Raw genomic sequence first — 14,558 nt, 5'->3', positions numbered from 1 at the left:
AATAATGTCTACCAAGAGGGGATCAGTTATGTAAATTAGAACACATCTGTACCAAGGGACACTGTATAGCCATTTTAACTCATGAGGCATGAGTAAGAAAAAATACATACAGAGAGTAAGAACAGTGAAAAATCCATACAAAAAGAAAATATATACAGAAATGAAAACACAGCCATACTTGGCTGCATATCAGAATAACCTCCAGAGCCTTCAGAGATATACAGGCGCTCAGTCCCATTCCCCACGGGATTTTGATTTAACAGGCCTATTAGAGGGTCTTTATAGTTTTACCAAGTACCACAGGTGATTCTGGTACTGAACCAGGCTTAAGAACCATTACTCTAGGAGACCAAGAACCTAAAACTTTCATTTGTATTAATACATTGTGCTTCAGAATCTATGTGCCAGCTCCAAATAGTCTGCTTACTGCACCTGGAGCTAGCATTTAGACATCTGGAGAAGCATCAAGGCCTTTATCAGCACTTGGAGCTGCCTGGACCAGATGAGTGATTAAGATACCAACACGTGTTTTAAAGCGACTGGGCTCACTACCAATAGCACAAAACAACACAGCCTAATTTTTAAATTGGTATCATGGCTTTGAAAAAAAAAGCATTTTCAAAAAAAGCTGACTATAAAACAAACGCATGTTAAATAAATATCAACCTTCCATCAATTATTATGAAATATGAGTCATATTTTTTTTAGGAAGAGACTGTGAGACAAATGAAGTGACAGATATAAAAAAAAGTCATCCTTGTGGGATAAAAAGAACTATGGCAGGAAGCTGGGTGAAGATGGCAAACAGAACACAGTTATTTATCTTCCCTTCCGCCCCAAATCCCACAAAATGACAGAAAGTGAGACAGAAAGGCTACAAAGCATGAAAGAAATATCCATAAGTTTTAACTGTGATCTAACAGGAGTCTCAGAAGGAGAGAACAGAAAGAGTCATAGAGAAGAAACAATAAAAGACAGAAGAGAAAAAAATTTCCTATAGCTGAAGAAAGGTGTGCCTCTGCAGTTTAAAGGGTTCAGTGAGTGATGATCGGGATAAATGAAAAGAAGCACACATCTGTCCAGACCCACTGCTGTAAACTTTCAGAGCACCAAAGGTGAAGAGAAAGTCCTAGAACCTTTCTGAGGGACAAAACAGGTTTCCTGCAAAGAAACCAGAACGAGATTGGTATGATAACTCTCACTGGCAACACTAGAAACTAGAAGACAATGAAACCATGTCTTTGAAAAGACATTTGGATGGCTACCCTAGAAAATGATTCCTTGTGTGCACAGGGAGGCAAGTAAGCATTTTCACAACAGTATTTTTTCAACAGCCACAACCAGAAATAATCCATATGTTAAATAAATTATTCATTAATTCTATTTACTGAATACCTACCAGACACCAAGCACTATCTGAGGAACTGGAGTCATAGCAGTAAATAAAACAGAAAAGGTCCCTGTGTTCATGGATCTTATATTTTCCATTATGTGGCAATATTCTAGAATACTCTGCATTTGTCCAAAATAATGAAGGGGACTTACATACACTGACACAGAAAGCTATCCAAGGAATATTTGCAAGTGAAAAATGTAAACTGCAGTATAATTCCATTAATGTTCATTTTTTTAAAAAAGCACATACGTATATGAATGTAAATATTATATAAAGAAAACAAACTTCAAAGATATATCCCAAATTTTGGCTAACTCTGGAGAGGGAAAGGAAAGTGGTGTTAGAGATGGCCTTTCTCATTTTTCCCTATATGCTTTGACATTCTTGAATCTTTTACAAAAAGAAAGCCATCATCTATAACTTCTATACTTTTAAAAATAAAGTAAAAAGTAACAAAGAGACAAATATTTTACTTCAATAGAACAATTAACATTTAAATTATTGGGCTGGGCATGGTGGCTCACGCCTGTAATCCCAGCACTTTGGGAGGCTGAGGCAATAGGATCACCAGGTCAGGAGATCGAGACCATACTGGCTAACACAGTGAAACCCTGTCTTTACTAAAAATACAAAAAAGTAGCCAGGCGTGGTGGCAGACACCTGTAGCCCCAGGTACTCAGGAGGCTGAGGCAGGAGAATGGCGTGAACCCGGGAGGCAGAGCTTGCAGTGAGTTGTGATGGCGCCACTGCACTCCAGCCTGGGCGACAGAGTGAGACTCCGTCTCAAAAACAAAAACAAACAAACAAAAAAACATAAACATTTAAATTATTAATAGGGCTTATATTGGCACATATGAGGTTTGATAAATATTAATCGCATTTATTTGGCATTTCTAAGTTTAAAAAAAGAAAAATGGGCCTGGCACGGTGGCTCACACCTATAATCCCAGCACTTTGGGAGGCCGAGGCAGGCGGATCACCTGAGGTCGGGAGTTCGAGACCAGCCTGACCTACATGGCGAAACCCTGTCTCTACTAAAAATACAAAATTAGCCAGGCATGGTGGTGGACACCTGTAATCCCAGCTACTCTGGAGGCTGAGGCAGGGGAATCGCTTGAACTCGAGAGGCGGAGGTTGTGGTGAGCCGAGATCACGCCATTGCACTCTAGCCTAGGCAACAAGAAGAAAACTCCATCTCCAAAAAAAAAAAAAAGAAAAAAAGAAAAATGGTGTCACAGGAAACAAGCATATCCGTGAAAGAATTATGATAATTAATAATATACAAATGTCTACAGTTCTTTATAGTTTATAAAGTATGTTCATACACACTATCTCATTTCACCATATCACATTATCTCATTTTATACTTATACAAACCTGGGGGTTTCCATAAGTTATAAAAGGCAGATACAGGACTTCCTTCCTAGATACCCTTATATAAAAGTTTTAACTCTGATTCAAACTTTTTGATACATCTGAAAGGATTCTACAAGATACAAACTCTCAGGCCAAAGGGAAGACAAGAGCTCTGACCGAAACATTAAAATCTCAACAAAGCTACCAGCCTCACTTTAAACACCTCTTTCCTACACAGGCCTAGGTTTTTACCATAATATTTTGCATTCTGATTCTCTTACAGTAAAACCGAATTCAAATGATAGATACATACAGCAGTATGAAAGAAAAATCTTGCCCATCTTTCAAAATTTGCCAAAAAATACGATAGATTTTAGGACTGAAGCTGGTATAAAACTTGTCATTTTGCTAATTATTAAGAAAAGACTCACCCAATTAATTGCTGAGTCCTTTCTTAAAAGTGAATTAAGATGGGTGTGGGGAAGAAGTATTTCAAAACAAACTGTTTTCAGGCACATAAGGAATTCTGTAAGTTACATAATTGTAAGCCATCAATATTCCAATTGTCAATTATTCCTACCTGCTCATTAAAATAAATTTTCTAAGGACTGCTCTTAGCTGACTTTTAGCATTTTATCAAAATTTGTAAAATTTTAAAAAGTCTATAATTCTGAATTTTTACTTTTTCAGAAAACCTTTTCTCATTTGTTTGAATTAGCAACATTTTTCCTGCATTTTATTTATAACAGCTAATCAATATAGAAGAGGCAGCATCTTTCAGCTTATACCTGCAGAAACTAATAAACTTGTATTTCAACACTAGCAAATATCAAGTGGTCACCCTTAAATTTCATAACCTTTTAAATCTGACCTTTCAAAGTTCTTATCATTCCTCTTAAATTAAGGGTAGAATGACCTTAATCAATCAAAAATTCTGCAAAAAAATAAGAAATAATTTTATGAAATTCTGTAAACATAACTTAGAGCTTTGACTCAGGTGGAAAGTGTATGTGAGAGAAAGTGTGTGTGTGTGTGTGTGTGTGTGTCCTCAGTTTATTTCCTCACAACAGATTAGAGAAAAAATTTGGGTTATGAATCTTCTCAACCTGAAGCAGAAATTCCTTTCAAGATAAAAACAACCAAATGTCACATGAATTTTAGTTGACCGCAATCATAGGTTCAAGTATAAATGACATGAACAACAGGTGTTTCTGACCAGATTTTCCACTTGTCTCAGAAAACCTGAAAAAACAGTTTAACAGGAAAGACCTGTTTAGTCCACCTGACTAAATCTTTCTTTAGGCCTCAATCTTTTGAAAAGGAAGCAAAATAACACCAATAATGGATTTTTAAAATACAAAGAAAGAACATCATAACACTTGTACGTTTTGAATGTTTTAAAGTTCAGTAACAACTTTATAAGTTTCAATTTAAATATTTATTCATCAATCACTATTAAAGCTACAAACATCTATAGCAATGGAAGACTAAAACTGTACTTCTTTTGTTTAGCCAAGGACGAGTCATTGGAAAAATAGTCTTTAAAGACCTTCTGACAATGCAGATTTTTTAAAATGCAGAAGATGAAATGTTAGTAATATTTCTTTTTGGGGGTAAGGTTAGTGTCTTACATAGCTTTCTCATCCCTAAAGTGCCTACATAGTTATTCCATTGATATGGTGAAAAGTTAGGAGCTGTTTGGTACAAGGAGCAATGATCGCAAGTCAATACATATCACCTGAAGCTTACAGATAATTCTATCATGTGGAAAAAAGTGATGGAAACATGAACTATTTGCACTACTGCTTACTTGCAAATCAGAAGGATAATATATTATGTACAAGGGTGACAAACATTTTAGCTTTACAATTAGAAAATGTGTAACTACAAAGAGTCAATAAAAATCAGAAATTCATATATTGAAAAGTACTGATATCCTCTCAAATCAGCCAATTAAAAAAATGGAGATAACTAGCATTTATAGAGTTTACAAGGCACTTTTATATAAAGTATTTGCTTTCATTCTCATAAAAATCTGATTAGATAGGTAGTGTCTCCCCTTGACAGGTCAGAAACAAAAAGGTGGAAGAAATATAATGCATAACCACACCTTCTGACTACGATATCTGCGATCTTCCCACCATCCCTCATTGCCTCATATGTAGATAAACCCAATATATGCTTGAAGAAAGCATGTTTCTTACTGAGACAACGGCTTAAAGTGAAATTTTGGGATAGGATTATTGTAGTTAAAATGACAGATGACTAAATAAGAGAAAAATTCCATGGCCAACACATATGAAAAATATGACAACTAGTAAACTAGTTACTGTGGATTACATCAAGATGCACCCATGTGGTCTGAGATGAAAGATCAGTATGGTAGGGACCAGTTTTCACACTGTTTACATCATTTTTCTTGAAGTTGCCATCTCTTCTTATTAAAACAGTATAGCATGGCCGGGCATGGTGGCTCACGCCTGTAATCCCAAAACTTTGGGAGGCCGAGGCAGGCGGATCACGAGGTCAGGAGATCGAGACCATCCTGGCTAACACGGTGATCCCATCTCAACTAAAAATACAAAAACTTAGCCAGGCGTGATGGTGGGTGCCTGTAGTCCCAGCTACTTGGGAGGCTGAGGCAGGAGAATGGCTGAACCTGGAAGGTGGAGCTTGCAGTGAGCCGAGATTGCACCACTGCACTCCAGCCTGGGCGACAGAGTGAGACTCCGTCTCAAAACAAACAAACAAGGAAGAATAAAAACATAGTCCCTGAATGGATCCATTATATAAAGACCCAATACAATATTCCCACACCATCCAAACCTTTGGCATTCTTGAGCTAGAACAAATCCACCTCTATTATGTAGGGAAATTATGACTTATGGATAGAGCGTGATTCAGAATAGTTACGTAAGTTTACTCATTTAAAAAATATTGGCTGGGCATGGTGGCTCACACCTGTAATCCCAACATTTTGGGAGGCTGAGGCGGGCGGATCACGAGGTCAGGGGTTTGAGACCAGCCTGGCCAACATGGTGAAAACCCATCTCTACTAAAGATACAAAAAATTAGCTGGGCGTGGTGGCACATGCCTGTAGTCCCAGCTACTTGGGAGGCTGAGGCAGGAGAATCACTTGAACCCAGGAGGCAGAGGTTGCAGTGAGCGAAGACTGTGCCACTGCACTCCAGCCTGGGCGACAGAGTAAGACTCTGTTTCAAAAAAAAAAAAAGAAAAATAATTTACTGGACACCTACCATGTGCTCATTATTTAGATCTATCTGGGGTACTATGGGAGACTCTGAGGTGAATAAGATAAGGATTTAAAGTCTAGAACAAGGGCCAGCAAACTTCTGTAAAGTGGCAGATAGTACCTAAAATAAAAGCACTAAAATAGGCTTTGTGGGCCATGCAGCCCCTATTGCAAATACTCAACTCTGCCACTGTAGCATGCAGGCAGCCATAGACAGTACACAAATTAATGTGTACTGTTCCAAAAAAGCCCTTTATTTATAAAAACTGGTAGTTGGCTGGATTCCTGGTCTAGAACCAGTGATAGGATATACCCAAATATCTACATACTCAACCTAACTGTTCAGGCTTTTATTTCTTGCCTGAACTGTTATAAAAGCTCCCCCTCTTGTCCTGTGTCGCCAACTCCACTCCTCTAACTACTCCACTCGACAGAGCTGCCAGAGTGATCTTATGTTTTAACACTATGTCACTGCTATTCTTAAAACTCAATGGCTTAGCACTACTCACAGAAAAAAAGTCCATACTTCTTAGCAGAGTATAAAAGGCTCTTTGTGCTCCATCCCTACTTTAGTCTCCTGACTTATCCCCCACAATCTCTCTACCATCCCTCCCCTAACTTCCATGCTGAAGCAATACTAAACTACTCCAACGCACTATGCTATTCTGTGTCTCTGCTTCTTTGCATATGTTGTTCCCTCTACCTAAAAGGCCCTGCTCTACCAACAGACATGCATATGAAGGTTTCTCTCACCCCACAAGTTGACCATATCTGACATGAGTTCACTCTCTTGCCTTGCATGTACTTTCTGTTACTGCACGTGGAGGGTTAGACTGAGGGCAGCTTAATGGTAGGTACTTTACTTCTTTGCAGTCGGGGTATTAACTCCTAGCACAGGGTCTAGCATGCAGTAGATGCCGAATAAATCTACTGTGAACCAAAGTCAACTGACAGTACCATAAATGATACATTACTATTTCAAGAAGGAAACGGGTATAACATTCTTGAAAGGGAAAATGTGAAAAGGTGTGAGGACAGTGGTAGCATATGAGCCAGGTTTTGAAAAGACAGGTAAACGTAGAGGATGAAGATCCTCAGTGATGCAAAAAAAACAAAACCAAAGCAGAGATGTTGAAAAATAAATTAATGTCTGATGACCGGTGATTATTTAAGTTTGGCTGAAGTATGTGGAGAATAATCAGGAGCACATTTGGAAAGGCCAGTTAGGGTCAGATCTAGAGGACCCAAAAGACCCAAAAGAAGCCTGTACTTTGTTTTGTAAATGATGGGGAATCACTGAAAGTGTCTGAATGGTTGAATGATATGATACAGGAAGGTTAATCAAAGAGAAGGTGGGTAGTGGCAGTGAGAACTAAAAGGCACTGCCAAGACAGAACTGAAAAAATTTGGCAAGTGACTTGACCTAGGGCACAGTAGAGTGCCAGGAATCAAAGATAATCCTGATGTTTTAAGCCTGGGAAATTGGGATAAACAGGGAAATGCGAGCAGAAAGGAAAGTAGTAAAAAAGACAATAAATTTGGTTTTGCAATATTAAATCTGAGACCTGATAAAACATCTAGGTGAGGGTATTTAGTACAAATCTGAAAGTAGGAGACAGATATGTTCAGTAAATCTGTCTACAGGTGGTAACTAAAACCTAAAGGAGAGAAGAGATGGAAGATCAAGAGCACTTTATCAAAATAAAAGTATCCTAGTACGTATTTCTACCATGGTAACTACAATATTATTGTACTAATTTGAAAATATGTCCATTTTCCTGACTCTGAACTCCTTGAGGGAAGAGTTCACAATTATCTTTATGTCTCCAGCCCAATAGCTTGAACACATCAACTATTCAATATATTTGCTGAATAAAGCAGCCCCCAAAATTCTAGTACGTGGAAACTCCCACTTCCTCTGACATATTACAACTTTTTTTTTTTTTTTGGAGACGGAATCTCGCTCTGTCACCCAGGCTGGAGTGCAGTGGCGCAATCTCAGCTCACTTCAAGCTCTGCCTCCTGGGTTCACACCATTCTCTTGCCTCAGCCTCCCGAGTAGCCGGGACTACAGGTGCCCGCCACCATGCCCGGCTAATTTTTTGTATTTTTAGTGGAGACGGGGTTTCACCGTGTTAGCCAGGATGGTCTCGATCTCCTGACCTTGTGATCCGCCCGCCTCAGCCTCCCAAAGTGCTGGGATTACAGGCATGAGCCACCATGCCTGGCCATATTACAACTTTTAATACAATACAAAGATTTAAAAACACTTCTTCAAAATTTTCACTTTACGTGTCTGTGTCAGATGGTGATGACCTAAGGTAGATGAGTCAGTGGTTACTACAGGGCAGATGCAAACATTATCTTCCTTCCTGCTACTCTGAAGATTTAGCAGTTGACAATTAATTCTTATTCCTTTTACCATCTCTTCTCCACCAAAAGTCAGCATTTCCCTACCCCTTGATATGCTTGAAAGGAAAGAGAAAGAATACTGGCATAATGTTTATAATCTGTTTAGCTGATTTTCCTGACCTTTATGTGTCTATTCATAGCAGTGGACTGGGCTGCTCGCACCAGACCCTCCAATTCAGCACCACTGAAATTCTTGGTCTCCACGGCCAGTTCTTTAATGTCTACATCAGCAGAGAGTAACTGATGCCCTCTCATTCTTGCTGTGTGGATGTGAAGAATCTGTAGTCGGCCTTTCTCATCTGGCAAGCCTGATGAAATTAAAAATAAAATAGGCATTTTCCTAGTCTCGAAAGCACCATCAGAGGAGATTATCATTATTATTATTACTATTATTTTGAGACAGAGTCTCGCTCTGTTTCCCAGGCTGGAGTGCAGTGGTACGATCTCAGCTCACTGCAACCTCTGCCTCCTGGATTCAGGCGATTCTCCTATCTCAGCCTTCCGAGTAGCTGGAATTACAGGTGCACACCACCACACTCGGCTAAGTTTTTTGTATTTTTAGTAGAGAAGGGGTTTCACCATCTTGGCCAGGCTGGTCTCGAACAACTGGCCTCAAGTGATCCACCTGCCTCAGCCTCCCAAAGTGCTGGGATTACAGGTGTGAGCCACTGCGCCCAGCCTAGAGGAGATTATTATGATCCTAATGTTTTCCTTATAGGTACTCAAGCATGTAAACATCTACTTCTCATGATATAAACCTTTTCTAAAAAATACTACACCATATGACATTGTTCCTGTTAATGAACTCTAAATGCCTCCACTCCCCCCACCACACACCCAATCAGTGACAGATCTCCTTACCTATCTCCATTTTAACTTCCAGTCTTCCAGGTCTAAGAAGAGCCTCATCTATCAGATCTGGTCTATTGGTCATTCCTGAACACAGATGTTAAAACAAAACAACAAATGATCAGAGTTCAAAAATAAAATCAAATGTCCTTTTAGTATATGTAAGAATAGTAATTTCCCTAACAAGCTAAGGAGACTTTGCTTTACTATTTCACTACTGTATAAGCCAATGGAATATAAATGTTATGAAAACTTCCAGTATTTAAAAAGAAAATTTAAGATTCAAAGGGTAAATAATCTGTCAAAGTGACAGAGGGGCAATGTGACACGATCTCTCTGACTCCAAAGTTCCTTCTCTTTTTTACAGGCCAGTGGTTTTCAGACTTCATAAAACAGCAGGGTGTTTTTTTTTTTTTTCCCCCAGAAGTCATCTTCAGAAGCACCTCAGTACATAAAACAGCTAAAAGAGGAAGTTATAATAGTGATGTAGGATCTGAAACGCACTCCCTGGCCCTCACTGACCCTGAAAGCACCTCTGAGGACCCCCGAAGGCCTGCAAGACCCAGTTTGAAAACCACTGCATTCCATTGTTTCATGTGTATTTTTCATTTTTGGGTGAGCTATAAGCTTCAACCTACATCTTTTTCACCTGTGGGTGAGCTATAAGCTTAAACCTACAAGTGACTGAAATCCATCTTTTATTTTTCCTATTAAGCCTAGGCATTACAATAGATTCTTCAATATCACTGGATTCTAATTTGGAAACACTGGCAAAACAGTTTAATCACAACCTACACACATCTTAATTCAGAACTTATGGCTAACGTTTTTGAATGAATAGTACTTTTTTAAAAAGTAAACATACCAATGACTAGGATGTTGTTTAGCTGCTCCACGCCATCAATTTTGGACAGCAACTGGTTGACAACAGTGTCATGAACTCCCGTGCTACCAGCCATGCTCCCTCTCTGCTTGCAGATGGCATCAATTTCATCAAAGATGATGATGTGCAAACCACTGTTAGCACCAAGCTATTAGGGGAAGAAATTATATTAAAGATCATAATTTGAATGTCTTATTAAACAAACTAATCAGAAAAACAAAACAAAGCTTTCAACAGATTGACTTCACTTCATTTTGACTAATAAATATGGCAAGTGCAATTGTGGTTGTTGTCCTCTCAAAGGTGTTGGAACTAGATTCTCAGAATTCTGCAAACTGAAAACTCATTCTAGAACCTCATATTTAATAGCTATAAAATGAAAATACACATTATATACTGATAGTGTGTGTGTATAGATAGAAAGTAAGTAGTCGATCAAATAATTTATATACATTTCTTATCTCACTATTTGAAAGACCTTACATTTGTCAGATACTTTCATTAAGTCAGTCAGTGGCAACACCCTCCCATTTTCCCTGAGTTTTGGTGAGAAGACTGTCCCAGAAGCAGTAGGTTTAATGTTTGTTTCGTTATATTATGTAACTAAAGGTTAACTCCACCTACAGGTTGACTGGGAATTGGACAAATGAGTGAAGAAACTCAACATGACTCACATGTACTTATATTACATGAAAACAGATTACGCCTTCCTAACAATAAAGTGAGAACAGAGACGGTTTATAAAAAGAACATGGTTAACAGGGTGCTGTTTCTTCTGCATAATGATTTCTGCCTTAGTTTACTAGAAATAGAATCACCATTAAAAGAAATTAGTTTGTATATTTTGAATCTTTAACAGATACAAACACTTCTGAATGCTACTAATTCATTAGGTTAATTTAACACGTACCTTCTAAAATTTATATTTAAGTAATTTAGTCTCCTATCAGGGAGTAAAGTGCACTCTGGAAATTTTTTCTTTTATAAACAAAAAACACGGCCGGGTGCGGTGGCTCCTGCCTGTAATCCCAGCACTTTGGGAGGCAGAGGAGGATGGATCAACTTAGGTCAGGAGTTCGAGACCAGCCTGGCCAACATGGTGAAACCCTATCTCTACTAAAAATACAAAAATTAGCTGGGTGTGGTGGCAGGTGCCTGTAATCCCAGCTACTCTGGAGGCTGAGGCAGGAAAATCACCTGAACCCAGGAGGCAGAGGTTGCAGTGAGCCGAGACTGCACCACTGCACTCCAGCCTGGGCGACAGAGTGAGACTCCGTCTCAAAAACAAAAAATACTAGGGATTAACAAAACTGGTAAAAAATGAACATAACCTAAATATGACAACATACGGATAATAAAAATTAAATGAGCATAATGAGACTGAGGATTAAATATGGTTAGTATCCATTAAATCTCCGATAAGGATATAATCGTTGTTTTGTTTGTTTGTTTGTTTGAGATGAAGTCTTGCTCTGCTGCCCAGGCTGGAGTGCAATGACGCAATCTTAGCTCACTGCAACCTCTGCCTCCCGGGTTCAAGTGATTCTCCTGTCTCAGCTTCCTGAGTAGCTGGGATTGTAGGCATGTGCTACCACTCCTGGCTAATTTTTGTATTTTTAGTAGAGACGGGGTTTCACCATGTTTGCCAGGCTGGTCTCGAACTCCTGACCTCAGGTGATTCACTCAGCGCAGCCTCCCAAAGTGCTGGGATTACAGGCGTGAGCCACCATGCCCAGCCTAATCTTTGTTTTAATAAGAGAATGTTTTTTAACTTTTTAAAGGAGTAGTAGATTTGTTAACAGAGCAAAAGTTGTAAAACAAATAAAGTGTAAAAATAAAGCTGGGCAGAGTGGTACGTGCCTATAGTCCCAGCTACTCTGGAGGCTGAGGCTGGAGGAATCCTTGAGCCCAGGAGCTGGAGTCCAGCCTGGGCAACACAGTGAGATTCCATCACTAAAAACATAAATTAAAATATACTACATTTGCCATGGCTTGTGCCTGTAATCCCAGCTACTTGGAAAGCAGAGGTGGGAAGACTGCTTCAGGCCAGGAGTTCAAGACCAGCCTGGGCAACATAGTGACATCCCATCAATAAAGACCCATCTATAAAACATCATTACATTACCTAAAGATAAGTGCTGTTAATGGTCCACAGATTTCTATATTTTAACTAAATATTAAGAACTTACTGCACCTTGTATTCTCTTGAATATTATTCTTTGAAAACGATTTTCAATGGTTATTTTTGCTTCCAATTGCAAAATATATAATTATAAAAAATGTGGGAAAATAGCAAAAAATAAAGAAATCACAATCATCTCAAACTCAGCCAAAATGGAGCTATGTAATACCTTGCATCCTGTTTTTCAGTACAGGTATTATTTTAAACCCTTTCCCATCCCTATACAATATATATATATATATATTTTTTTTTTTTTTGAGACGGAGTCTCACTCTGTTGCCCAGGCTGGAGTGCAGTGGCGTGATCTTGGCTCACTGCAAGCTCCGCCTCCCGGGTTCACGCCATTCTCCTGCCTCAGACTCCCGAGTAGCTGGGACTACAGGCGCCCACCACCATGCCCGGCTAATTTTTTTTTTGTATTTTTTTTTTAGTAGAGATGGGTTTCACCGTGTTAGCCAGGATGGTCTCGATCTCCTGACCTTGTGATCCGCCTGCCTTGCCCTCCCAAAGTGCTGGGATTACAGGAGTGAGCCACCGCGCCTGGCCGATGATATGATTTTTAATAGCTCTATAATATTTAATCATATGAATGGTTTCACAGTTTAACTCTCCTACTCCATATTCATTCCTTACTGTTAGATATTTAATTATTTCTAAGTTTTTAGTATTATATATGTTGCTGCAATAAACATTTTCTTTTTTCATTCTTTGTAGAGACAGGATCTCACTCTGTTGCCCAGGCTGGAGTGCAGTGGTGCGATCAAAGCTCACTGCAGCCTCAAACTCCTGGGCTCAAGCAATCCCCCACCTCAGCCTCCCGAGTGGCTGGGACTACAGATGCGTGCTACCACGCCTGGAAAATATTTTATTTTTTTTTGTAGAGATGGGGTTTTGCCATGTTGCTCAGGCTGGTCTTGAACTCCAGGACTCAAGTGATCCTCCTGCCTCAACCTCCCAAAGTGCTGCGATTACAAATGTGAGCCACTGTACCCAGCCTACAATGAACACTTTTATACTTAAACGCTTGACAATATAGATGAATACTTGCTAAAGGCAAATTGTTAGGTTAAAAGGTGTGTTAAGTATTTTAAGGCCCTTGAAATAGGAACACTTGAAAAAGTAGAAACACTTTTCCAGAAAGGTTTTATCAATCTATAATCCCAGCACAGTACCTGATAGTGCCTATCTTGGTATATTCCCACAAGTAATGAATATTAGAAACACTTTAAAAGTAATTCTCAATTTGATAGATGGACAATAGTATCTTTCTGTTGTTTTTAAATCACATTTATCTAATTACTGAAGGGGCTGGTGCTGTTAAAAAATCATGTTTTTACCATTGGTAATTTTATTAGTATTTGATATGTCTTCTATACCCTTTTCTGTTGAAATTCAAGAGCTTTTCCTATTGATTAAAAAATGATTTATACATTAGGGCCATTATTATACTTGTAACTACTTTATTCTAGTTTGCCAGTTGTCTTTTCTTTATGGCATGTGTGCATATATATAAGTATATATATTTTTTTGAGATGGACTTTCGCTCTGTCGTTCAGGCTGGAGTGCAGTGGTATGATCTCTGCTCATGCAACCTCCGCCTCCCAGGTTCAAGCGATTCTCGTGCCTCAGCCTCTCACATCTGGGATTACAGACGTGCACCATCAAGTCTGGCTAATTTTGTATTTTTAGTAGAGACAGGGTTTCACCACGTTGGCCAGGCTGGTCTCAAACTCCAGACCTCAGGTATTTGCCCACCTCGGCCTCCCAAAGTGCTGAGATTACAGGCGAGAGCCACTGTGCCCAGCCTATTTATGGTATATTTTCGGTAAGTGGAAGGCGTTTTCTGTTTCTACTAAACAGCCAGCACAATTTTTATTTTTATGATATTTTCATTAGTTTTATCCTTAAAATTGTTCCCCATTACAGACACTGATGGTCACATATTTTCTTTTCTTAAATTTTTGCTTTACATATAATTCTTTATCTGGTGTTTTATTTTTGTGTATGGTACAAGTAAAGTGAGAAGCCAACTAATTCTTCTTCAAATAACCGACCCAGCATTGTTCCCTAAATTATCCCTCCTTTCTTCGTTGACTGAGCTGCCATCATACCAAGGTTTGGACTTTGATGTATGCTAGGTTATTACCAGCCTGTCTACTCTGCTCAATGGATTCATTCATGTTTTTATCTCCATAACTTTACAGTAGTACATTGAAGAAGCTCTTC

General features: G+C 39.0%; 2 protein-coding genes across 3 annotated transcripts in view; both read right to left on the bottom strand.

The window, feature by feature from the left end:
- LRRC37A2 (leucine rich repeat containing 37 member A2) overlaps positions 1-14,558 on the bottom strand; it is a 676,337-nt gene that overhangs the window by 345,928 nt on the left and 315,851 nt on the right. The window lies entirely within an intron of this gene.
- NSF (N-ethylmaleimide sensitive factor, vesicle fusing ATPase) overlaps positions 1-14,558 on the bottom strand; it is a 166,796-nt gene that overhangs the window by 54,264 nt on the left and 97,974 nt on the right. For both annotated transcript variants that reach the window (NR_040116.2, NM_006178.4), the window contains 3 exons: positions 10,133-10,298; positions 9,280-9,354; positions 8,539-8,726 (listed from right to left, as the gene is read on the bottom strand). Coding sequence is in view for 1 of the 2 variants with exons in the window: in NM_006178.4 (NP_006169.2) it covers positions 8,539-8,726; positions 9,280-9,354; positions 10,133-10,298 (429 nt within the window). In the remaining variant the exon portion in view is untranslated. The remainder of the gene's footprint in view (positions 1-8,538; positions 8,727-9,279; positions 9,355-10,132; positions 10,299-14,558) is intronic.

This window comes from Homo sapiens, chromosome 17 (genome assembly GCF_000001405.40).
Source record: "Homo sapiens chromosome 17, GRCh38.p14 Primary Assembly".
NCBI classification, from domain to species: Eukaryota; Metazoa; Chordata; class Mammalia; order Primates; family Hominidae; genus Homo; species Homo sapiens.
Note: the sequence above shows the minus strand (reverse complement) of the source record. Positions and strands in the feature narration are given on the sequence as shown.